The following is a 24699-nucleotide window of genomic DNA, read 5'->3' on the forward strand; positions in this document are numbered from 1 at the left end:
CACACCTGCCCCCGTCTTTTACCCTCTTCTGGCTCTCCTCCAAGAAGAGCTTTTCCTAAATCATTCGCCCTGTTCACCTGGGCTTTGAGGCCCCAGGTGTAGGCCCAGGGGGTGGGGTGGGGTGGGGGGATGGTCTCTGACTGGATAGCCCCACCTGGGTAGGAAGCCCCCAGTGTGGCCCCACCTTGGCTGTGACCTGGGGGTCCTGCAGAGTCCTGTGTCCTGTTGCAGTGAGGGGTCAGTCAGTGGGAAGAGTGGACAATTAGGAGACACCATGTCTGTCTCCTCGACGCCAGTCAACACTGTTGCCTTTGTTCCCAGGGCAGCCTTCCCCTTGCCTTCCATTCCAAACTCCTCCTCCTCCCTCTAAGATTCCCTATTCACCTCCTAGAGGAGGCCACCTGAGTGTCAGCCAGGCACTGGACCTGGGCCTGCCCGGAAAGGTCCCTGGGCCTGGTGTGCTCCAAGAACCTCGCTGTCAGGGGTCAGCGTGCCATGGAGGATAGGGAGAGGCATGTGCCCTTGGGGACGTCTGGCTTTGTCCGGGGGGTTTTCTGCTGCTCACTGGCTTCAGGTCAGGGCTTGGCTCTGTGCTGCAGCCTTAAGCCAGCGGGCCCAACCGCCTCCTCCAGGCCCGCCAGCGCCTCAGATGTTTCTCTCCTTCTTAGAGGGTGTTTCACATCCTTTCTTTTGTTTGCCCTGATTATTTTTGCAGATGAAGGAATACACACAATGGTCATCTTTGTCTTATTTGAAAGCCAAACACGTTGCTTACACGTTGGGTGCACAGTGAATATGTATCAGTCCAGCGCTTTTCACCATCTGGTCTGGTTTTAGTGTTGCTTTATTTCTGGTCATTCCTCAATCGGGGCTAAAGATCAGAAAAATCGCATCTCCAGGTCCTGAGCCATGGCGAGGAAGCTGGGTGGTGCCCTGTGCTGTGTGGCTAAGGTGGGGGACGAGGGTTGTCGGTGGGGGAAGCCCCATGGGGGCCCCACTGGAGTCATAGGAGCGAATGGAGCACCCACTCCATGCCTTCTGTCAATTACAAAGCACCTATTATGTCCCGGATACTGTGTCCAACACAGTGGACACATTGATGGGTAAGGCATAATCCCCCCCCAGGAGCTCCCAGTTGGATTGAGGAGGCAGACAGGCGAGCGTATGGCTGTGACACACCCAGCAACTCCCAGTTGGATCGGGGAGGCGGACAGGCGAGCGTATGGCTGTGACACAGGGGGGCAAGTGGCGTCACCAAGGCAGAACCCAGCAGCCGGGGCCTGAAGCCCCCTCACCCAGCTGCAGCCTTCCCGAAACAGCTGAGATCAGCCTGGAGAGCTCTTCCTCCCTGCCTGCCCGGAGGGTGGCGTGGGTCCCATCGCTCTCCGTCAGCCACGGCCAGAGCACACCTGTGCTGCTCCTCAGAAGGGCATCACCTGTGGAGACGGTGACAGCTGTTCCTGTTCCCTGCCCCAAGGACAGGATCTGGAGCCTGTGGGTGTGTAAGGAGCCAACTCCCTGACCCCAAAACTGTGGCCAGTTCTGGAGAAGGTGGCCAGGCTCTGGGTCCCGGGACTGTGGCCCCCCTCCTGCCTCTAAAGCCCCTCTTCTGGCCTCCATGACTTCAGCCCCTCCTGCCCCCAGAAGGAGGGATCAGCCCTACAAGGGACCCAAGAGAGGGAGCCTCACACACAGGCGCTGCCTGACTCTCCTCCAAGCTGGCCTGAGCCCTGGGCAGTGTTCTGAGGCTCAGCCACACGGCTGTGCAGGGCAGGTGAGAGCGGCAGCCTGAGAGCTGCGAGCCGGGGCCGGGGTTTTCCTGGAGCAGCAGGAGGGATGAGTTGGGTTTCTGTAACTACAAGGGCCAAGAAGAGGGAGAGGATGATCTGGGAAGGAGAGTGGCTTTGGGCCAGCATTTGGGCCAGCAGGACTCAGAGGCGAGGGAGGTGGTAAGATCCCTTGCTTGGGATGAGAGGCAGATGGGGAAACTGAGGCTTGGAGCAGAGGGAGGGGCAGGGCCTGGGCCCCCAGCAGGTCCCAGTTCATGATGGCATGCTGCTTCTGCATGAGTGAGACATGAGGGGGTCACAGACGCCCGGAAGCATCGGCATCATCAGATCATCCGACTCGATAATAGAAAAATTAAAATTTAAAGTCACTGAAAGTGACGAGTGACAGAAATGTTCCTAGAAACTGGAGATTGGGTGCTCAGCGGATCTCAGGATAGATGATATCAGACACAATGTCCCCTGGGCTGAGGTTTTTTTTTGTTTTTTGTTTTTTTATGTTTCAGAATTCTAAGGCAAGGATGAAAGTCTTCTCTATTCTTGAGGTGCTGGGGTTCCTCAGCCTCCACCGTCCAGCCTCGAGCAGCTGCCCCCTCTCACCTGCTCCTCAGCCTTCTGGAACAGACAGGCCCCCCACAGCAGCCCAGCCCAGGCCACCAGCACCACCCCCAGAGGTTTATGCCATCTTCATGCAGTGGGAGGCTCAGCCCCCACACTGGGACCTGTCCACTTTAGCCCCAAGGATCTTACCAAGGTCAAATCTTTGGAACTCAGGGTCTTTGGGAACTTCTGGGCCAGACAACCCGGCCATCACAGGGGCTTCTGCGGGGTTGGCTTTATGATGCATTTGGGTCAGGAGGTCTGTTTTTATCCTTTGGGCCTCTGGGAAAGTCCGTCCTGGCCAAGTCCTCTGTCCCCTAGTCTCATGGCTGGCTGGCCCTGGAGCTCGGGTGGCCTGGCCCGGCCCGCCTGCTTCCCCACAGGCAGCGGCTCTTGCTTCTGCTGCCTGCAGTGCTCCAGATGCTGCAGGCTCCTTCCTTCCTTCAGGGCATCCTAAGTCCCCCGAGTCTCGAATCCCCAGTCTCAGCTGAGTCCTCGAGGTCAGTGGGGCAGAACGCCAGAGCCCTGGGACAACGGGCTGCATAAAACACTTATTTTAATTATAAGAGTGATGTAAGAACATATCAGAAAATTGGCAAAATACAGGGCAAAAAAAAAAAATCACTGGTGGTCGCCTTCTCACACAGTCACACACAGTGGTGTGCAGCCTTCTGGCTTTTGGTTGCTTTGTTGCAGTATTGGCACCTGCGTTACAAGATTTTGTGTTGACCATTCTTGTTCTTGCTGTGGTCTTTAAGGTTTACAGCGACAGCTGTTCCTCTTCAGGATGCAAGGAGACCGAGCCTGCCTGCCCTCAGGGAGCTGACGGTCCAGCAGGAGGCATCCTGTCTGCAGGGCCCATGCGGGGGACAGGGCAAGAGGTGCGGTGGAACCAGACCTTGCCCTCCAGAAATGCAGGGAGACAGACACGGGCGTATTTAATTCAACTATAGCATGTGGTTCTGAGAAGGCTTCTTGGAAAGGGCCTGGGGTTGAGCTGGGCACCAGCAGGGAGGTCTCAGAGTGGAGGCGGCAGTTCCACCCTACGGCGTAGAGGAGGCGCCCTGATCACTGCCTTTCAGCCGTGGCCCTGCCTGTAATCTTATCCTTTTTGTTGATTGTTGTTGGCTGATGTTGGCTGTTGCTGTGTCCTCCACCAGAGTGGAGAACTCCCTGGGGCTGGACCCCTTGTCCTTATTCACCCAGAGAATAGGTGCCTTAAAATACTGACTGGACAGAAGGAGGAAGAGATGGGTTGGGGGGCCGTGTCATGGAAGAATTCCTTGGGCCAGCCGCAGAGGAGTAGGCCTTGGCAGAGAGCTGGGAGCCTGGAGGGGAGCTGAAGACCTCTCCCATAGTCAGCTGCCTTTAGGGAAGAAATACTAGAAAGTCACAGAAGAGAAAAGAGGCGGGGAAGGGGAGGAAAGCATTTCCACCCACAGTCCTGTCGGGAGAGGTAACATTTTGGAGTACAGTGTGCCCTGCCCCAGCAGGCCCTGGCTGGATGCATATTCCTATAGATATAATTCTATAAGTGAGATCATTCCATATCTACTATTTTACAACCTGTTTTTGTTTTTTGTTTTTTCCACTTAGCAACACTTTGTTCTTACCTAGAATTCACCAGGCAGGACAGGGCTGATGAGGGAGCCCCTCCCACCTGGACACTCAGTGGCCCCTCCCAGGACTCGGGGCTTTCCTGGGGGCCTCAGCTGCGGAGCAACAGCTCCCTGTGCATCAGAGCCGTGGGGGAGGGGGGCCAGGGGGCATAGGTACGACCACCACTCCCATTTCGTGTCCTTTAGGAAGCTTGAAGAAAAGTGGTTAGCCAAGAACACAAATTACGGTGATGTTGTTTGCAGTGTGGCGTGTTGGGTTAACATAAACTCTGAAGTCAGAATTGACATCAATTTGAGCCCAGATCATCCTGTTAGCAGCTGTGTGACCTGGGACAGGGTGCTTACCTTCCAGACTTTAGTTCCCTCACTGTACAACAGGGACAGGGATCATACCTTTCTCTGAGAGTTGAAGGAAGAAGTGAAACCAAACACAGCCCCATGACAGCCCCTTATGCATGGTAGGCACTCAGCAGGTGCTGGCTCCCTTACGGCCCGAAGGAATCGATTGACAAACTCTCAAATTAATGACATAATTCAAGAGAGTAGCTGCGGAGACAATAAATAATTATAGTAGCTGATGTGGTTTGGATGCGTGTCCCCTCCAAGTCCATGTTGAAATGTGATCCCCAGCATTGCAGGAGGGGTCTGGTGGGAGTTGATTGGATCAGGGGGGCAGATTCCTCATGAATGGCTTGGGCCATCCCCCTGGTGATGAGTGAGCAATTTGGTCGATTAAAAGAGTGTGTCACCTCCCTATTCTTTTGTTCCCACTCTTGCCATGTGACACATTGGCTCCCCATCGCCTCCCACCATGATCGTAAGCTACACCAGAAGCAGATGCTGGCACCACGCTTCCTGTACAGGCTGCAGAACTGTGAGCCAATTAAGACACTTTTCTTTATAAATTCCCCAGTCTCAGGTACTCCTTTGTAATAATGCAAACAGACTAACACATTAGCCATAGCCATTTATTAACATAATTTTAAAAGATTTCAGTCTTGTGCTGAAATTGTTATGTTGATGGTTACACATTTGTCAAAACTTAGTGACCTGTACACCTAAAAGGATGAACTTAATTGTGTGTAAAGTATACCTTAATAAACTTGACTTTACAAAAAAAATCCCTCTTTTTTTTTTTTGAGATTGGGTCTCACTCACCCAAGCTGCAGTGCAGTGGCACAATCTCGGCTCACTGCAACTTCCACTTCCTGGGTTCAAGCAATCCTCCTGCCTCAGCCTCCCAAGTAGCTGGGATTACAGGCGTGCATCACCACACCTGGTTAATTTTTGTATTTTTTAGTAGAGATGGGGCTTTACCATGTTAGCCAGACTGGTCTTGAACTCCTGATCTCAAGTGATCTGCCCGCCTCGGCTTCCCAAAGTGCTGGGATTACAGGTGTGAGCCACTGCCCCCAGCCTTTATATCTCTTGACTGTCACAAAATGCATATTTTATTTAAGTTTGCCATAAACAGAACATTTTTACATACTGTATTGTAACAGTATATAATACAATACATACCGTATTGTATTGTGTGTAGTACAATACATAGCGTATTGTATTGTGTGTAGTACAATACATAGCGTATTGTATTGTGTGTAGTACAATACATACCGTATTGTATTGTGTGTAGTACAATACATACCGTATTGTATTGTGTGTAGTACAATACATACCGTATTGTATTGTGTGTAGTACAATACATGTATGTAATACAATACATACTGTATTGTATTAATCAGATATGTTGTCCTGTGTTATTAAAATCATCCCTTGTGGCCCAAATTTGAAGGCAGTACTCTGTTCCTGGGTGTGCACCGTTAACTTCTTTAATGAACATCCTGCTGTTCAATAGTGAGGCTGCATCCTTCTAGAAAGCGCTGTTGAGAGGTGTGAGGAGGCTGCCACGCAGGCCGCGCCGCCCCGAATGGCAGGTGGAAGGCGGCTGAGTGGAGCCGCAGCAAATGCAACCCTGCCCCCGAGCCAGGCCCCAGGCTGCACCTTTCCACTGCTTCACACCAGCAGTGCTTTACCTGGAAAGGTGTCTGAACAGTGCTTGCAAAGGTAACTGGCATTCTGCCGGCTGCTCAACTCTGTGGACACCAGTACAGTCAACAACTCTCACTCGCCGCGGGCACCTGCTGTGCCCACCTGCTGCCATCTGAGTGTCACGACCACACCCCCATCCCTGTCCTTTCACGCACTGTCTGCCCGCACACACTCTTCCACCCTCTGTCGGCAGGGCCCCTGCCACCTCTGAAGCCCCCTGCCAGCTCTCGGCAGCCCCCTCCTCCCCCTGGCTCCCGTGTCCTGCCCACCTCCCCACACTGGCACCTCCTGAGCAGCCCTGGCTGAGCATGCACTCTGAGGGCAGACCCTGGCCGGGCACCAAGATACAAAAGGTTATGAGGGTGTTCTCTTGAGGAACTGAGTCCAGTGTGAACAGTGAACACAGAAACATAAAGGGACACCAGAATCCCCATCCCCATCCCCAGGGTGGTGAGCCACCGAGGGGGGCCAGGCACGGGGGAGGGTATTCAAGGGCGGCAAGCCACCAAGGGGACGGGGCAGGCACAGGGAGGGCATTTCAGAGAGTGCAAGGAGGCGGCGAAGATGCTGGTTGAGGGCACGGGTGAGGCGGGGAGGCGTTTCGACTTTGGACTGAAGGCCTTAATTGACCAAGGCGGTAATTTCCAGTCCTGTGACCTCACGACAGGCTGGACATTGGAGGATGGGATGACACTGGCTCTTCTGGGGTAACTTGTCTGGGTTTAAGGTTCTTGATGGGGTTTAGGACATGGCGGGACCCTAAGGATGGTGCCAGCATCTGAATTCTCTGCCGTCTTGCAGAGTCAGGATTCTGCAGCTACTTGCCCAAGAAAAAGTAGAGAAAGGTGGTTTCATGTTTTTTTTTTTTTTTTTTTTTTTTTACTGCTTTGAAGGGAGGTGTGGGACTCGTTTGCACACACAGTTAATATTTCCAAGGCTTGTGCAGGGCCAGACAGATTTGGTTGCAGCTGTTAGTTTTACTTCCTGTCCCGATAAAGGAGGGTGCTTGCCTCAGCTCTCACCTGCTGCCATAACAAAGCTCCATGGACCGGGCCGCCTAAATGCAGACACATACTCAGCTCTGGAGGCGGGAGGTCTAGATCAGGGCGTCCGCATTGTCAGGTTCTGGGGAGGGCTCTTCCTGCTTTGCAGGTGGCTTTTTTCTCTGTGTCCTCCTGTGGAATGAGAGCAAACTATAGTCTCTTCCTCTTCTTACAAGGACACTAATACCATCATGGGGGCCTCACTCTCCTGACCTCACCGCAACCTAATTACTTTCCAAAGGCCCCACCCCCTACCACCATCGCCCTCGGGGTTAGGGCGCCTGGGTACACATTTGAGGAGAGGGCACAGCCGTTCAGTCCATGACCACATTGCATGTTCCAGGGAGGAACTGGAGAGAGGCTGCTGTTTGCTGGGCACCTGAGCTGGTTATAGATGTTAAATCCTCACGGTAGAAAATGTGGAAAATACAGAAACAATTATAATGCATAATCCTACAATTCAGAGATCATCACAGCAGACATATGGGTCCATTTCTTCTGGTCAGTATTCATTTACAGCGAGGCGGACAGACTCATGCTGTAATTGAGTCATGCTATGTATTTGTTTCAGGTCCCGCTTTTTCTTTCCACTTAAGACAATATCATTCATTTCCTGTATCATTAAAAATATTTGCGGTCGGGTGCGGTCGCTCCTACCTGTAATCCCAGCACTTTGTGAGGCCAAGACGGGCAGATCACTTGAGGTCAGGAGTTCGAGACCAGCCTGGCCAACATGGTGAAACCCCCATCTCTACTAAAAATATAAAAATTTGTCCACCTGGGCCAGTGCGTGATTCCGAAGACTACATTTGAAGTCCAGCCTTGCAGCTTTCCAAAAACCCGTGCCTCCCTCTTTCTGCTTGTAAATGTCCCTCACAACTGGTTTCCCAGAAAAATTGTGAGGATGAGCGAGGTGTTGCTTGTGGAAGTTACTTTGGAGGGAAAGTGTTTGTGACACCCCATGGGTGTGGCCCATGGGGCTCCTGAGGGTGGATGGATGTGGGAGTGGACAGGCCTGGCTCCTTTTCTTGGTGGGCTGGGCTGGGCTATGAGCAGGAGCTATGGCCGTGGCTGACCCTTCTGCAATGGGAGCTGAGCAGTGGTACAGTTAGATAGCTGCGCAGATGGTCCGATGGCCCGGCCTCCAAGGCCTTGAGTGATGGGATGACCATGACCACTGGATGTCTCTCAATAGGCTTTGCCTTAACCATGCCAGCAGTTCCCCCATCTGCTTTATCAGCCCTGGTATGTACATCAGATTGGCTAAGGGTGCAAAACTGGAATGCTATTAAATTCCAGAGGCTCTGGTCGCTTGAAAAGATGAGCTGAAAATAAGATAAAATTTCACAGGGTTAAAGGCAGGCTTTGCACTCTGGTTTAAGTATAGAGTCGTCCATTCATGAGAGTATAGGTTTGGGAGACAATAGCATTGAAGAGGCTTGAGCGCACACTCAGAACCAGTGGCTCTTTCTTAGTCTGTCCATGCTGGCTATACTGCAGCCCCCCTCAACTGGAATCAGATGTGGCCCAACCATGAATACTTTGGACAAAGCTCCCCCAAGTCAGGCATGCCCTCTTGTTAGGGAAGGTGGATTCCTGACCTGAGTCCATCTGGAGGTCCAGGCAGGAATTAGAACCACTTCAGAAAAGCTCTGCACAGATTTAATTGCACGAGTACCTGCGTCTCAGAGCTGCAGACTGAGTGTGTTGTGCAATTGTTGGGCGGCTTTTCCCTTGGCCACAGTAGATTCGCAATTAAGAAAAACAAATGCAGCTCTCAGTCAGAAGTGTGCAAGGTTTGCTTGGTCTGGAGACAGCAGCTTCTGTGCTCTGGGGTAGTGAGGAAGTGTGTGGGCAGGTTGGCAAATAAGCCACATGTATGTCCCCTGGGCTCAGCCCCCATCTTAGTGGGCACACCAGGGCCCACGAGATCTGGGGACTATTTATGTAGGGTCTGCTGGGGCAGGGGTGTGGGTGGGTGTGCGCTGCTTGTGTTGTTGAATTGGGATTTTTCCAGCCAGACCAGTCTGCTGGGACAAGCCTTCTGGCTCTGGGCCAAAGGCCTCCCCAGCTGTGATCCATTCAGGCCTAGAAAGCTGGGGGTGCTGACTGCCATCACCCACTGGCCTCCATGGTGTGTCCACAGAGGGCCACCTTCCTGCAGGGCTGAGCTACTTCTGTCTGGGTGTAGCTTCTTGTAAAGTCCCTAGCAGGGTTGCTCCCTACAACCCACCCCTCCCCATTTTCTCTTTCTCTCTGCATGACTATTATTCACTCTTCAAGTCTCTGTTTAGATGTCACCTCCTCTGGGAAGCCTTCCCAGATTCCAGGTGGGGCTGGAGGCCCTTCTGCGGACTCCCCTGGCATCCTGCACTCACTCACCTATGGCACATATCATTGGCCGCAAAATCTCCTGGGCACTTATCACACTGCGGGTTCCTTGAAAACAGGAATCATTCTTGTTCTCTGCTGCATCTTAGGATGGTGACTGGCACATAGTAGGAGTCCAATTAAGAATGTTTTGAATAAGCGAAAGAGTGCCTAAATGAGACTTCTATTCCAGCTTGAAGACCAGCCCACCACCCTGATAAGAAAGTTCAAGTGTGGGAACCGCTGGGGATCTTGATGGCCTGGGACCTCTGGATCAGTGCTTGTGCAGGACAGAGGCAGCCCCGGAGTTCTCATGGGGGCTGGTGAGCAGAGTGGGGCCCCAGGATGCCTGATGGCCCGGTCTGAGGTGTGCAGGTGCCCCTGAGGTGGGCACCACCCAGGAGATGCATGTATCTGTGAAATACCAGATAGGCCCTTAGTCTAAGCAAGGAGGCATCTAAGCTCCTTAAAGATTCCACAAGGATGTTACGTTGTGCTTTGAACAACAGAGACGTGGCTCTGCTGAGCCCCAGCCAAAGCTCTGCACAGGGACCTTGACTCTCCCTTCCCGCTGTGTGGCTCCAGCAAGTTTCCTCCCACCTCAGGTCTGGGTTTCCAGGCATTAAGTGACAAAGTGGATGCGACGCTCCTTCTGGACTGTAATGCGCACTGCGTGGAGATGTTCGTGTTCCAGTGTAGACAGGGCGTTGTCACATCAGGCAGGACTACAGGGACAATGTTTGTCAGCCTGTCTTCTGGGCAACTTGGGGTATCCTCCCTTTATATCACCTCCTGCCCAGGTGCTCTGCGCCGCCAGAGCATCATGTCATTTGGGATCCCTGATGGCAATTTTGAGACTTTGGTTCACAGTAAAGATTGGTCCTGTGTGATCTTAAAGTAATGTGGCTTAAAAACAAATGGCTGTCAGGGAATTGTAAATCAAAGCAAACACCGATGAGAATGGCCCAAATCCAGGACACTCAGCACCAAATGCGAGGGAGGATGTGAAGCCACAGGAAGCCTCACTCACTGCTGGTGGGAACGCAAAACAGTACAGCCACCTTGGAAGACAGTTTGACAAATCCTTAGAAAGCTAAACACACTTTTACCCTGTGATCCAACAATCATGCTCCTTGATATTTACCCAGAGGAGTTAAAAAAACTTATGTCCACACAAAAACCTGCACATGGGTGTTCATAGCGACTTTATTCACGATTATTCATAACAGCTGGAACTTGGAGGCAGCGAAGGTGTCCTTCAGCAGGTGAATGGATAAATTAGCTGTGGTGCATCCAGACAATGGAATATTATTCCACAGCACTAAGAAGAAATGAGCTAGCAAGCCATGAAAAGACATGGGGGAACTCATCTGCATATGAGTAGGTGAGAGAAGCCAATCTGAAAAGGCTATGCCTATGGAGGATTGCAACTCTATGATATCCTAGGAAAGGCAAAGCGATGGAGATAATAAACAGATCAGTGGTTCCTACGGGTTAGGAGGGAGGGAGGGATGAGCAGGCAGAGCACAGGGCATTTTTAAGGCAGTGAAACTGCTCTGTGTGATACTGTAGTGGGGGAGCCATGTCATTGCACAGTTGTCAAAACCCATAGAATATACAGCACCAGCAGTGAGTCCTAATGTAACCTACGGACTTGGGTGATAATGACGTGTGAAGAGACAAGGCGGGTTCATCCGTTGTAACAAACAGCCACCCTGGTAGTAGGGAGGGCAGGAGGTATGTAGAGAACTCTGTGCTTTCCACGCGATTTTGCTGTGAACTAAACAGCTCTAAAAAATAAAGTTCATTAATTAAAAAAAAAAAAAAAAAAAAGGGAAATGACCACATGCAAAGCACTGCGTGGAGGGCCACGCATCCCAAGCAAGTCAGCTAGAGTAGAGGCAGGAACCAAACAGCTCTATGAGGTTCTGGATGAGAAGCCGCATGCACCACCCCCTCCCTGCTCCCGTGTGGGACCCAGTGAAGACCTCCTGTGCCCGGCTGCAGCTGCTGAGTGTGGGAGTGTGCTCTCCACAGCAAACCAGCCGTGAAGGCTGCACACCTTCCTGTTTCTGCCCAGCCACACCACAGGGCACTCAGCCCTTTTCCTGAGCACTTGAAGCTGCGTTTCCTCGAGCTCCTTCCTGTTTAAGAACAGGAGGGGAGTGGCGGCTCGCTTGTGCACCACTCTCCAGGGCAGTGGTGTGCGGGACACCCTGCAGCACCTTTGACTCCTCCTCTGGGAATGAGGCGTGGTTTAATCTGCAACCCCTTACCATTAGAGTCTGCAACTAGTCAAAAGGTGAATCTGGCTGGGCGCGGCGGCTCATGCCTGTCATCCCAGCACTTTGGGAAGCTGAGGCAGGAGGACTGCTTGAGCCCAGGAGTCCTGACCAGCCTGGGCAACATAGTAAGACCTCCTCTCTACAAAAGTAAACAAAACTAGCCTGGCGTGGTGTCATGTGCCTGTGGTCCCAGCTACTCAGGAGGCTGAGGTAGGAGGATCACTTGAGCCCAAGAGGTTGAGGCTGCAGTGAGCCAAGATCGCGCCACTGTGCTCCAGCCTGGGTGACAGAGTGAGACCCACCCCCCTTTTTTTTCAGACCGCATCTTGCTCTGTTGCCCAGGCTGGAGTGCAGTGGCACGATCTCGGCTCACTGCAACCTCCACCTCCCAAGTTTAAGCAATTCTTTTGCCTCAGCCTGCCAAGTAGCTGCGATTACAGGCACCTGCCACCACACCCAGCTAATTTTTGTATTTTTAGTAGAGACTGGGTTTCACTATGTTGGCCAGGCTGGTCTCAAACTCCTGGCCTCAAGTGATCTGCCCACTTCAGCCTGCCAAAGTGCTGGGATTACAAGTGTGAGCCACCCAGCCCTGAGTGAGACCCTTTCTCAAAAAAAAAAGAAAAGAAAAGAAAAAAAAGGTAAATCTAAGAGGTGACCAGTAGGGGAATATATTTGTCGAGTCTCCTCACCTCAGCACTGTTGCCATTTGGAGAAGCATAATTCTTTGGTGTGTGCGGGGAAGGGGGGGCTGTCCTGTGCATTGTGGGGTATTGAGCAGTATCCTTGGCCCTACCCATAAGATGCTGGTAGGCATGTCCCCTCAACTCCCCAGTTGTAATAACCAAAAATATCTCCAGACATTGCCAAATGTACCCGGGAAAATCACTCAGGTTGAAGTCACTAAATTATATGTGTGTACATATAATTACACATGCATATACATCGCGTACACACACACACCCACACACACACACACCTTTTGCTGGTGGCTCTGGATTGGTAAGCTGGCTCCATGGCAAGAATCAGCATCCTAATACTTGCCCCACCCTTTAAAATAAACTTCCCAATCCTAGGCAGACAAAAGAACAACCCCAGACCTCCTCCCTCAGGGTGGGGACAAGGTGAGGGAGGTGGCGGCCCGGCAGGAAGGTCATTTCTTTCTTCAGTCACATCAGATGAGCTGCTTCCCCTCACTAGGAGTGGATGGGGCTGCCAGTGGTGTTCTTGCAAAATACCCCTTGTGGGAGGAGAGGGGTGGAGGGAGAGAACACCCTCCACACATCCCCGTGGGATGTCTGGAGGGAAGGGTTTTGGGCACCCACCCTGGGGAGAGAGGAGAGCCCAGGTTACCATCTGTGGTGTCCCCTCGCTCACACTCACTACTGCCCTCCACAAACTGCCATGCTTGCTTGGTGCACGGTGCTGTGCTGGGCACTGGGGCAAGGCCCCCTCCCCCATGGGGCTACAGATGCTAATCTGCAAATCCCAGAAAAGTGGAATCTCGGTGGCAGAGTGGATGAAGGGGAGGTGCTCAGTGCTATGAAAGCCAGCAGCTGGGAGTTTCAGGGGCTTCCCTAGGGAGGGACCCTGAGCTGGGGTCTGAAGGAAGAGCAGTTCACTGGGGAGTTAGGGAGTGTTCTAGGCAGAGTAAACAGTGCAGTGGCAGCCGGGGCTGGCACTTTTAAAGAAAGCCTCAAGACTTCTCTTTCTGATTGTGAAGTGAGCTGAGCAGACTGAAATCAAAGATGTGAAAATAAAGATAGAGGCGACAGGCTGGGTGCGGTGGCTCATGCCTGTAATCCCAACGCTTTGGGAGGCCGAGGTGGGTGGATCACAAGGTCAAGAGATGGAGACCATCCTGGCCAACATGGTGAAACCCCGTCTCTACTAAAAATACAAAAATTAGCTGGGCATGGTGGCACACGCCTGTAATCCCAGCTACTTGGGAGGTTGAGGCAGGAGAATCACTTGAACCCGGGAGGTGAAGGTTGCAGTGAGCCAGCCTGGCGATAGAGCAAGACTCCGTCTCAAAAAAAAAAAAAAAGATAGAGGTGACAGGAAGACCCCACCATGAGTGGCCTCCACTGAGTGCGCATGTGAGTGAGCAGCTGTGCGGTGGTCCTTGCCATCTTCCCATCAGCCCCTCCCAGCCCCTGGGCCTGGAGAGGCTGAGAATCTGACCTAAGGCTGCCCAGTGGCGTGAGGCTGGCCTGCCGAGCTTACGTCCCTGGGGGACTCCAGGACCCCAGTGCTTCCTACTGGTGGCTTCAGCTCCCGGTCACTTGTCGGGAATGCAGGGCTGAACCCCTGGAGGTTGTGTGGGACAGGGCCCAGGAATCTGCATTCTAGCAAGCACCTGCTCCAGGCTTGCTTCCCTGGCAGGGAGGCTTGGTGATCCAAGTTCCTTGGGTGCAGACACTTGCTGCTTCTCTCGGAGGCCGGGCTGGGCTGTGATTTTTTCATCCAATGTGCTGGGCTGATTTCACTTGCGGATGCAGAATGAGAAGCTGTAGAGGAGATCACGGCAAGCTGTCTGCATGGACGATGGCAGAATCCGGTGTCTGCTTGGCCGCGTGGTGTCACTAATAGGATTTGCCGAGCCTTTTGGATGTTTGTGGCGCGACGGCTGCTGTGGGAACCCAGAGGCTGCTCATTTGCAGGGAATGAATAATTTATTTCTGTTTTCAGATGACTTATTCCTTCATCTGCAGCCGAGCCCCCACATGTTCTGTAGGCTCCTGATTAAGTGATTTCAGCAGGAGAATTTGGCTTAATCCCCCACTGCCCTGGACGCCTGGTTCCAGGCTGCTGATTTGTCGGCCTCGTGTCGGGGGGTGTCCGGAGCCTCTCCTCTCTGGGGGCTTTTCTTCCTGCTCTGCCTGTTTGGGAAGCCTCTGGCCACTGAGCATGTGCTGGCCTTGGGTTTTACGGCTGTCTGGCAATTAGAATATTAATGTCGATAACACAGCAGGACTTGCGTGTGACAAGCTGAGCCACATAACGTCACAGTCGCTCTTGAACATCTCGGACTTTCACATGGGCCAGCCACACCCCAGCCTAGGTTGCTCCCTCACCTCCTCAGGGCCTCCCTGATGTCGGTTTAGACATGTGCCTTCCATCTTGCCTGGGCCACCATGTTGATCCTCTGGGTCCATTGCTCAAGAGCCCACCATGGCTCCCTGTTGCCAAATGCAGCCTGAATTCAGTATTCAAAGCCCTCCGTGAATGGGCTTGGTCCTTCCTCCCTGGCCTCTCTTGCGTGGCTCCATGCTCTGAGCTGCCTACTCGCTGACTCATTCATTTAATGTTTATTCTTTGGTTGTTGTTTCAGCACTGAGTGGGTCTGTGGAATCATTTACATGTTTATTGAGAGTCCCCCTGGCTGCAGATGCTGGGCAGGGGCTTTGATGTGGGGAGAAAGACCCCCCCCCAGGTTACAGGTAAGCCCTCCCAAGTGGCCCAGGGCCCTGGGAGGGGGTGAGGTTGTGTGAGATGGCAGTGTGGGAGAGTCTCAAATTTTTGGCATCTTTAATCTGCCCACTGGGTGAGATTGAGGACTCAGGTGGGTGTCAGGGGCTTTGAATGCCAAACCACAAAGGTCTGCAGGCTGGGGGAGCTGCAGGAGGTTGTCATCAGTGGCAGGGGCCTTGGAGCTTGGTGGAGGAGACCACGCTTCAGATGGCCAGCTGGAGCACCCCCCACCAGCCCCGCTGCCTGGACCCCTTCCACCTCTCCATGGACCCACCTCAGGCCCTACCCACCCTCTGCACCGCCTTGCACGGCATTGCTTAATTTCACTGCAATGGCTCACTGGGGCTGCTTTCCTCCCTCTCTTATTGCTCTCTGGGTGAGAGTTGGTCTCTGGCCTCCACATGAGGCAGGGACAGTGCCCAGGGAGTGGCCAGTGGGAGAAGCGGGGCTTGCAGGCCAGGTGGGCCCAAGTGTGATTCCTGGTGCAGTGCTGGTGGCTGTGTCGCCCGGGGCAAGTGGCTCAGAGCCTGTTTCTCATCTGCAGATGGGGGGATGGTCTGTACCTGTCCAGCACCCATGAGGAGCAGGTGGAACAGGATGTGGCAGTCAAGGGCTCCTGAGGGGACCCGTAAGTGCCACATTCAGCCTTCTGTGTTAAGGACCATGAGTCCAAAGAGTAGTCGCGTGTGAATCCACCTCCTTGTGCCAGCCTCACGGCCTCCTCAGGAAGGGCATGGAGGAGCAGTGGGATGCCCACGGTACCGTGGAGGAAGCAGTCCTGGAGGAAGGGTGACTGGCCGAGGGCCATGCGGTGACGCACTGGGGACTGGCTCTAGCTGCTGTGGGGCACGTCCACGTGGAGAAGCGCTTGGTGTATTCCCCCACCCTCTCACCCCCACAGCGTTCCTGGTGCTCTGGGTGCCTGCTGTTTCTGAGCCATCTAGGTGGGCACAGGGACAACCTCACCAGGGACAGTGTGGCCCCATGCTGGTAAGCAGGCGATACTGACCCTGGTTCCAAACTGCATTCCTGTTGGTCCTTTGTCTTGCTCTTCCGGTATCATTACGAACACAACTTTAGAAAGTTTAACAGTGGTACTCAGAGAGGCTTGTGGCCCCAACTCATGTGACAGTGACCAACAGGTGAAAGGTGACTTGTGGTCTGAACACCTGCAAGGGACACTTATTCCGATGCCTGAATCTTTGCATCTCTGCCCAGCAGATGACAGCACCTGGAGTGTTAGCTGGTCATACCTGGACCTGCGAGTGTAGGTAAGACCCTTCTTCTCAGGGCCTGTTTGCTCAACTGCACGATGGAAGGGTTGGGCAAGATGGATCTTTCCTTTCTTTTCTTTTCTTTTCTCCTTTGCAGTTGAACATTTTTCTTGCCACTGAAATCACAGGTGGAGGTCTGTGTGTTCGGCAGGTGAATGGCCATGCAGGGGTGGAGGGAGGCCTGGATGCTTTTTCTTCCCTGCACTCGCAGGCCCCCCATGGGACCCTCAGCCCCCAGAGGACAATTGGAGGCTTCTGGACTAGGGTTCTAAGGTCTCCTGAGAAGGTCAGAGGCTCGTTGTCCGGCCAAGACAGACAGCAGACAGTTGGCGTGTCTCAGGGTAGGAGGCTCCCCAAATAGAAAGTACTGGATTGGGAGCGGATTTATTGTTCCCTGCCTCCCCGGGGCCGTCGGCATTTCCCCTGTGGCTGCCTCACTGTTCTGATGTTGGCAAAGGTTTGTTTTATCTTCCTCCTTCCAGAACAGGAGGTGCCTCAGTGCCTCAGATGCTGCCTGAGAAGGTCAGTGGCATCTGGGAGCCATGGTGAGGGTGGCAGTGACTGGGCTCGGGAGGTTCCAGAATTCTGTTAGTGAGCAGTGAGCTGTTTTATTTTCCTTCCTGCCTATGGAAGGTCCTGAGTGAACAAACAAGTTTCAGTCTCAAGACAACACATCGTGTTTCGAGGTGACCTGTCCCCACCCCACCCCTGTCACTGGGAGAAGACTGCAGGTCTCACGGTCTCCCGTCTGTCTCTGCTGCCCCCAGGTCCAGGGACTCCTGCGATTTCTCTCCCTGGTGCCTGGTATTTTTGTAGCACTCTCTGGTTTTCAAAGTTTTCCTACAACAATTGTGCTTAAAATGAAATATAAACTCCATCCCCAGCCCCCAAGTCCCACTCCCTGCCGACCTCGTCTCTTACTGGGAAGGCCCATCTTTGTCACCAGCAGCAGCTGTGAGTGCCTCGTCAGTGTTTAAGAGTCCAGGTCGCTGCAGCATCTTGGTGTGTACTGTGGACCCATTGTGTGTGTGCCCCCAAATTCCTGTGCTGAGACCCTCACTCCGAGTAGGATGTTATTAGGAGGCGGGGCCTTTGGGAGGTAATTTGGTCATTAGTGCCCTTATAGGAAGAGGATGCGAGCCAGACCTGCCTCTGCTGTCTACCAGGCAAGTATATAATGAGAAGGTGACGTAGGAGGCGGGACTCGACTCCAGAGGCAGGACTCAGACACCAGACCAAATTGAGGACTAGCTACAACAGGGCCAGGGTAGAAACAGCTTTCCCTAAGACGTGCCCACCAGTGTGCATGTCAGTTTACCACTGCCATGGTAATACCCGGAAGTTACGGCTCCTTTCCGTGGCAATCATCTGACGACCTGGAAATTACCACCCTTTTCCTAGAAATTTCTGCATAATCCACCCCCTAATTTGCATGTAATTAAAAGTGGGAATAAATCTGATTGCAGTGCCGCCTCTGAGCTGCTGCTCTGGGCACACTGCCTGTGGGGTAGCCCTGCCCCGCAAGGAACAGTCCCTCTGCTGCCGCTGGGCACAGCTGCTTCAGTAAAATTGCTAATACCACCGGCTCACCCTTGAATTCTTTCCTGAGTGAAGCCAAGAACCCTCCTGGGCTAAGTCCCAGTTTGGGGGCTCACCTGCCCTGCAAGATCAGGAGCCATCTGTACACCAGGAAGACAGCCCTCCCCAGAACTCAACTGTGCTGGCACCTTGATCTTGGACTTCCAGCCCCCAGAACTGTAAGAGGTAAATGTTTGTTATTGAAGCCACCCAGTCTATGGTAATTTGTTAGAGTGGCCTGGAGGAAGACACAGTATTAAGTAAGGCTTCGTGTCTGACTTCACTGAACACTGCGGTTGTGAGACGCATCTGTTGTGTGGGGCACTGAGGTTCATTCTGATTGCTTTATGGGACTCTGTTGTGACTGTACTCCAGTTTCTCTGCCCGTGGAATGTACATGGATGTTTGGATAGTTTCCAGGGTGGGGCTGGGACAAATTGTGCAGCTCTGAGTGTTCCTGCACATGCTTTGTCTTGGACATGTGTCCTTCTTTCTGTTGGACATACATGAAGGAGGTCAGCTGCTGCTTCACGGGGCATGTGTGTGGTCATCTTTAGTAAATATGCCAGTTTTTCAAAGTGGTCATAGACAGTAGATTCCTTTTATTATGTGACAAGAGCTCAAATGCCCTGGTAGTGGGAGTGGCAGCAGGAGCTACAGTAAGACATTGCACATTCTCTGGAAGTCAGGGATCCCTGCCAGTCAGTTCCCAGTGCCCCAGGAACCAGGGGTTTGGTGCTGGGCACTAGTCATGACCACTCGCGGCTCAGGTGTTGGGTGGTCTTTCCAGACCTTCACCTGTGTGAAGCTTGCAACCTGGATGGTCTCATGTGGACATCTTGGCTTCCACCCTGTGCTCTGTGTCTGGTCTCAGACCACAGCCCACCCTGGTGGTCTCCTCAGGACACATAGGCTCCTCTGTAACTCAGTTTCTTGAATTGAACAATGGAAGAAAATGCCTCTATGAAGAGAGGTCATTGTGCAAAACGTCTGTGTGACAGTATTCTTGGAGCAACTGTGCTTATCACCCGGAGGCCACAGTGGAATTAGTCATTTGAAAACCAGTCACCTCCAAAATAGTCATAATCCAAAACCATCCATCTTTGACTTCAGACTCCATTATAATTTTTTCTCCCTAAGGGACTTTGCTTTGTAATTATGTTGGATTTCCTAATATATTAAAATAATTTGTCATCTCTTGAGCACACATCTGCCTGCTATGAGCAAGCAGGAGAGGCCACTTCCGGTTTTCTGCAGGTCCCAGTGAGCATGTGAAGCCTGCGCCTGGGCAAGAGGTTGGATACTGGGAGGAAGAAGCTTTTCCAGTACCCTTTCCCAAAGACCAGCCAGTGAGGGAAATGGGCACCGAATGCACCCCACCCCCCGGCCTGGGACTGGGCCAAGAAGGAGGAACTGACCCCAGAAATGGCCCCGGAACCATAACCTGCTTACACTGTGACCTGCAGTGCCCATGGTGGCAGCCTGGGCTGTTTCTGGAGTTGAGCGGAGAGTTCCTCCAGTCTAAACTCCTTAGAGAACATGAATATTCCTGAGGGCCTGGGGTCCGGCACCACCTTCAGTGGACTGGATCACCTTCTTGAAGGCAGAGAGATCTTAAGAGCTTATGTCTGACTGCCTACCCGATGCCCAGCACTAATCTGCATGCACCCCACTGGGCCATGGGCTTCTCAAAGGTGGGGACGCTGTCCCTGTACCTAACACACATGGTGGGCACTCGGCCTAGGTTTGCAGGGCCTGCTGGGGAGTTCTCCAAGGCAGTTTTATAGCTCAGCTCCAGCACCTTCCTGGGGGCCCAGTCCTGGATTTGAGGCTGCCAGGGGGGTTTGCAGTCAGCTAAGTTGGTACCCATCCATCCCTTCCCCTCTGTAAGGGGTGACAAGCACTAAGACCTGTTATGTCCCCTGGAAGCTCTACACTCTGTCCCCTTGCTCTTGTGACTCTGCTCTTTGCTCTCCTGTCCACTGGCATATAGGAGTAGGAGGATATTGACTTAGATTCCTTTTTATTATTTTTGTTTAAATCAGCTTTGTGGAAATGTAATTCACATACCCTACCATTTACCCATTTAAAGTATACAATGTAAAGTATACAATTCAGTGATTTTTAGCATATTCACTTGTATGTGCAATTATCACCATGGTCAATTTTAGAGTGCTTTCATCACTCCAAAAGGAAACCCGTACCCTTTACCTGCTAGCCCCTCTTTCCCCATCCGCTCTTCTGCCAGCCCCAAGAAACTACGAATCTACTTTCTGTCTCTGTTCTGGACATTTTATATAGATGGAATCATACCACATTTGTCCTTTTGTGTCTGGCATCTTTCATTATATTTTTGGGGTCTTGTTGCTGTTTTTGTGACAGAGTCTCGCTCTGTTGCCCAGGCTGGAGTGCAGTGGCACGATCTCAGCTTACTGCAACCTCTGCCCCTCCAGGTTTAAGCAGTTCTCTGCCTCAGCCTCCGGAGTAGCTGGGATTACAGGCGCGTGCCACCACACCCGGCTAATGTTTTGTATTTTTAGTAGAGACGGGATTTCACCATCTTGTCCAGGCTGGTCTTGAACTCCTGACCTCGTGATCCACCCACCTTGGCCTCCCAAATTGCTGGGATTACAGGCATGAGCCACTATGCCAGGCTGTTGTTGTTTTTTAAGACGTGGTCTCGATCTATCCCTCGGGCGGGAGTGCAGTGGCATGACCATAGCTCACTGCAGCCTTGAACTCCTGGGCTCAAGTGATCCTTCTGCCTCAGCCTCCTGAGTAGCTGGGACTACCCCCATGCACCACCATGCCTAGCTTGTTTATTTATTTAGTAGCGATGAGGTCTCACTATGTTGCCCAGGCTGGTCTCGCAGTGCTGGGCTCAAGCGATCCTCCCACCTTGGCCTCCCTTAGGGCTGGGATTACAGGTGCGAGCCACCACACCTGGCCAAGAATTGGTATTCCTTAAATATTTGTAGAATTCAGTAGTGAAGCTATTTGGCCAGGGCTTTTCTTTGTGGATAGTGTTTTGATTACTAATTCAATCTCTTCACGTGTTATAAGTCTTTCAAATTGTCTCTTTCTTGAGACAGTTCTGGTAGTTTGTGTCTTTCTACTTGGCTTAGATTTTGCAGGCCTCCCCTGCTCTTTCAGTCATAGTTGACATTTATTGAGTTCTTTCTATGTACCAAGCATTTGTTGTGCATTAGCTCATTTAATCTTTACAAAAACTTGATGAGCTAGGTAGTACTATTGTCATCTCCATTTTACAAATGCGGGAGTGGAAGCAGGGAGAGGTGAGATAACAGGTCAAGGTCACACTGTTAGGAAATAGGAAACAGTCCAGCTGGGCTTTGATTCCAGACAGTCCAGCCATGCAGCCCCTGGCCTTGCCACCTCCCTCTGCCATTCTCCAGAGACTCGGAGAGGGGCCTAAGGCCTGACATGAACGAAGGGCTGGGGGAGGTGGGGTCGGAAGGGCCCCAGGAAAAGCGTGTGTGTGAAGGGCTCAGACTCCCAGTTGGGGAGTTCGGATGTCCCCTTCTGGGGCTTTCATCTTCTAACCTCCTCTCCCAAGCGCTCAGCCAAAGGGCAGCACAGAGCACCCTACCCTAAGGTGTGACGCCCCAGCTGGCAGGACTTTGGAGCAGTAGATCTGTGCCCAGCAGGTCTGTATGAATCACCCAGGCCTCTGCATTTTGCTTTTCTAGAGGAAGAGGCATGGCAATTTGTAAGACAATCGCCAGACAGAAATCGGGAGCAACCAGACATAACTCAACATAATTATTTCTGCATAATGACTTCTGCTACTTGATTCTGTCTCGAGCAATGACTGTAATCTCTATCTGTCACTGGGAAGCTGGTGGCCAGGGAGCCCCTGTGGCTTAGAGATAGAGCCAGGAGGAAATTTGCAATTCGAGTTAATGGAGTGTTCCCAAGCAGCCTGAGCGCCAATTCCTTCAAGGTCTCCGGAACAGCAGACCCCCTTCCTGCTAGGAAGCCTGGTGTCAGAGCTGGCTGGGCCTCCTCTGCGGAGTCCAGCTCATCCACTTTGTCACAGATGGGGAAACTGGAAATGGCAGAGGTCACAGGATGTGCCCAAGGCACAGGCCAACCTGGAACCAGCACTTCCTCTCCACCCTCCCACCACCCAGCATTTTCCCCTTCAGCTGGCCTGGCTGTGGTGGGACAGAGGAAAGATGCCTCTGTGGAGCTGGTCACTGAGAGTGCTGGCCAGGCAGGGCTGCCCCCAGGAAGCTGGAGACAGTGGGGCCTTTGCAACCAGATAGCGAGGGACCTCAATGTGGAGATAGGGTGTGCTTGCTGAGCGTGCCAGCAGGCTTGTGCTCACCTGCTCCAGCTGGGGGCATGCAGAGGCCCCTCCTACCCCAGGAGGATGCTTATTCACTGCATTCCATGGCCTTTTAAAAATCCCCTTTAGGCCCGGGCGTGGTGGCTCACACCTGTAATCCCAGTACTGAGGGAGGCCAAGGCAGGCAGATGGCTTGAGCCCAGGAATTTGAGACCAGCCTGGGCAATGCAGTGAGATCTCATCTCTACTAAAAATGAAAAAAAAAAAAAAAAAGATTGGGGTGCACCTGTAGTCCCAGTTACTTGGGAGGCTGAGGCTGGAGGATTGCTTGAGCCTGGGAGGTTGAGGCTGCAGTGAGCTTTGATTGTGCCACTGCGCTCCAGCCTGGGTGACAGAGCGAGATCCTGTCTCCTGAAAAACAAACAAACAAAAAAAAAACCTTGTAACTAACCAGAGCAGCTGAAAAGAACAGAGCATGGGTTTGGGGATTTGTGTTTTGGGCGCCCCACACCCCATTTAGCCGAGTGTCACCTGAGCTGGTGTCCCGGAGTCTCTTTCCTTCTCCATAAACAGTTGAGAATGAGCTCTCTGCCAGGCCGGTAGGAAGGGGATGATGAAATGAGGACCTGGTACATTCTGCTGCTGGTTCCATTGCTGGGTTTCTCCTCGTGGAGAGCCCTTGACCCTGTCCAGGTCTTGATTTCTCGGAGTGTCAAAGCAGTGCGCACGGAGCTGTGAGATAAATTGGCTGAGATCATCGATTTGAAAACGCCGTGAGAAAATATGGGGCAAGGCAGAGAGCACAGAGGGGCTTTAGGGCAGCGAGCCCGCGCTATGTGATGCTGTAATGGTGGGTGCGCATCGGTACACGTTTGTCAAAGCCCACGGAGTGGCCCACGCCAAGAGGGAACCCTAACGTGAGCTGCGGACCTGGGGGGTGATGATGGTCAGTGCAGGTCCCTCAGTTGTAACAAATGGCCTGCTCTGGCAGGGGATGTGGATCGTGGGGAAGGCTGTGGCCGGGAGTGGTGTAAGGGGTGTGTGGGAACTTTCTGCTCAATTTTGTTGGGAAGACCTAAAAAATAAAATCTTTTATTTTATTTTATTTTTTTGAGACAACATTTCACTGTCACCCAGGCTGGAGTGCAGTGGTGTGATCTCGGCTCACTGCAACCTCAGCCTTCTGGGCCCAGGTGATCTTCCCACCTCAGCCTCCCAGGTAGCTGGGACTACAGGCACGCACCACCACGCATGGCTAATTTTTTGTATTTTTAGTAGAGATGGCATTTCATCATGTTGCCCAGGGTGGTCTCGAACTCCTGGAGTCAAGCAATCCACCTGCCTCAGCTTCCCAGAGTGCTGGGATTACAGGCGTGAACAATGGTGTCCAGCCTAAAATCTATCTTTAAAACACACACACACACACACACACACACACACACACACACACACACACTGCTATCTTAAAAGCATAGGGACCTTGCAGTGAGAATTTCTGGTGGGAAGATGTATGACTTTGTCAGGTCTTGAATTCTAGCAGTGAGTTTACATTCCATAATTGGCCTACAAAATTCTATATTTGGGAAACAGTAGAAATTTAACTCTGAGCAAGATACACCCTATTTCCAATCACACGTGATGCATCTCGGGGGCATTCATTTGTCAAACATTATTTGTTGAGCACCTGCTGTGTCCAGGCTCTGGACGCATAGACGTGAAACGGACGATTTCCTGACCTTGTGGCGCTCACAGTCAGGGGGGTGGGTTGGTGGGTGGGTGGAAGGAGGGGAGAGGTGCAGCACCCCCATTGTGCAGGAGCGAGGGGAGCCCCGCTGGCACGCCGCACTGTGCTGAGGCTGGGTGTTCTAGGGTGAACAAGCCACTTCGTCTAGTGGGTGCTTGTAAAGCGGGATCGTTGCTATGAGAGAGAGAACCTTGCGTTGGGAGAAAGTAATTAGGGAGTGTGCGGTAGATGCGGAAGAGAAACGGGCCGTCAGGTGAAGTGACTGTCAGGATTCCATCCTGGCTCGGCCCCTTGGAAGACACATGATCTTGCAGGTAATTAGCTCCTGTAAGCCTCCATTTTTCCCCGTCTGTCAAATGGGGATGATGATTGTGCCTGCCTCCCAGGGCTGCTGTGTGGATTACGTTGGATAATGAGTACAAATGCATAGACAGCCTTTAGCAAGGAGCCTGGTTGTATAGAGCTGTCGGCCTCAACACTGTTAATACACATATGTACCAGAGGCTGCAGGTTCACGGAGGAGGAGTCACCAATCCATGCCCGGGGAGCAGGCAGAGAAGAGGG

General features: G+C 52.4%; 1 protein-coding gene across 20 annotated transcripts in view, besides 4 other annotated features; it reads left to right on the forward strand.

Moving 5' to 3' along the window:
* Nucleotides 1–24699, forward strand: part of HPCAL1 (hippocalcin like 1) — a 124701-nt gene that overhangs the window by 68409 nt on the left and 31593 nt on the right. For 3 of the 20 annotated variants that reach the window (XM_047444099.1, XM_005246163.2, XM_005246160.2), the window contains exon 2: nt 16449–16498. The exons of 14 other annotated variants lie outside the window; for them this stretch is intronic. The gene's annotated coding sequence lies outside the window, so the exon portion shown is untranslated. Of the gene's footprint in view, nt 1–2293; nt 3269–16448; nt 18266–24699 lie in introns of all 20 variants that reach the window. 3 more of the 20 variants (XM_047444095.1, XM_047444097.1, XM_047444100.1) reach the window with 3 other exon arrangements.
* Nucleotides 1701–2428: an enhancer, noted in NCBI's record as "H3K4me1 hESC enhancer chr2:10513139-10513866 (GRCh37/hg19 assembly coordinates)". NCBI's record gives its function as "activates a minimal SCP1, AML or CMV promoter by ChIP-STARR-seq in primed H9 embryonic stem cells {active_cell/tissue: H9 hESC(primed)}" and the evidence as "EXISTENCE:reporter gene assay evidence [ECO:0000049][PMID:30033119]".
* Nucleotides 2429–3154: an enhancer, noted in NCBI's record as "H3K4me1 hESC enhancer chr2:10513867-10514592 (GRCh37/hg19 assembly coordinates)". NCBI's record gives its function as "activates a minimal SCP1, AML or CMV promoter by ChIP-STARR-seq in naive and primed H9 embryonic stem cells {active_cell/tissue: H9 hESC(naive and primed)}" and the evidence as "EXISTENCE:reporter gene assay evidence [ECO:0000049][PMID:30033119]".
* Nucleotides 10981–11636: an enhancer, noted in NCBI's record as "H3K4me1 hESC enhancer chr2:10522419-10523074 (GRCh37/hg19 assembly coordinates)". NCBI's record gives its function as "activates a minimal SCP1, AML or CMV promoter by ChIP-STARR-seq in naive and primed H9 embryonic stem cells {active_cell/tissue: H9 hESC(naive and primed)}" and the evidence as "EXISTENCE:reporter gene assay evidence [ECO:0000049][PMID:30033119]".
* Nucleotides 11637–12290: an enhancer, noted in NCBI's record as "H3K4me1 hESC enhancer chr2:10523075-10523728 (GRCh37/hg19 assembly coordinates)". NCBI's record gives its function as "activates a minimal SCP1, AML or CMV promoter by ChIP-STARR-seq in naive and primed H9 embryonic stem cells {active_cell/tissue: H9 hESC(naive and primed)}" and the evidence as "EXISTENCE:reporter gene assay evidence [ECO:0000049][PMID:30033119]".

The sequence above is a fragment of the Homo sapiens genome, chromosome 2 (assembly GCF_000001405.40).
Source record: "Homo sapiens chromosome 2, GRCh38.p14 Primary Assembly".
Classification (NCBI taxonomy): domain Eukaryota; kingdom Metazoa; phylum Chordata; class Mammalia; order Primates; family Hominidae; genus Homo; species Homo sapiens.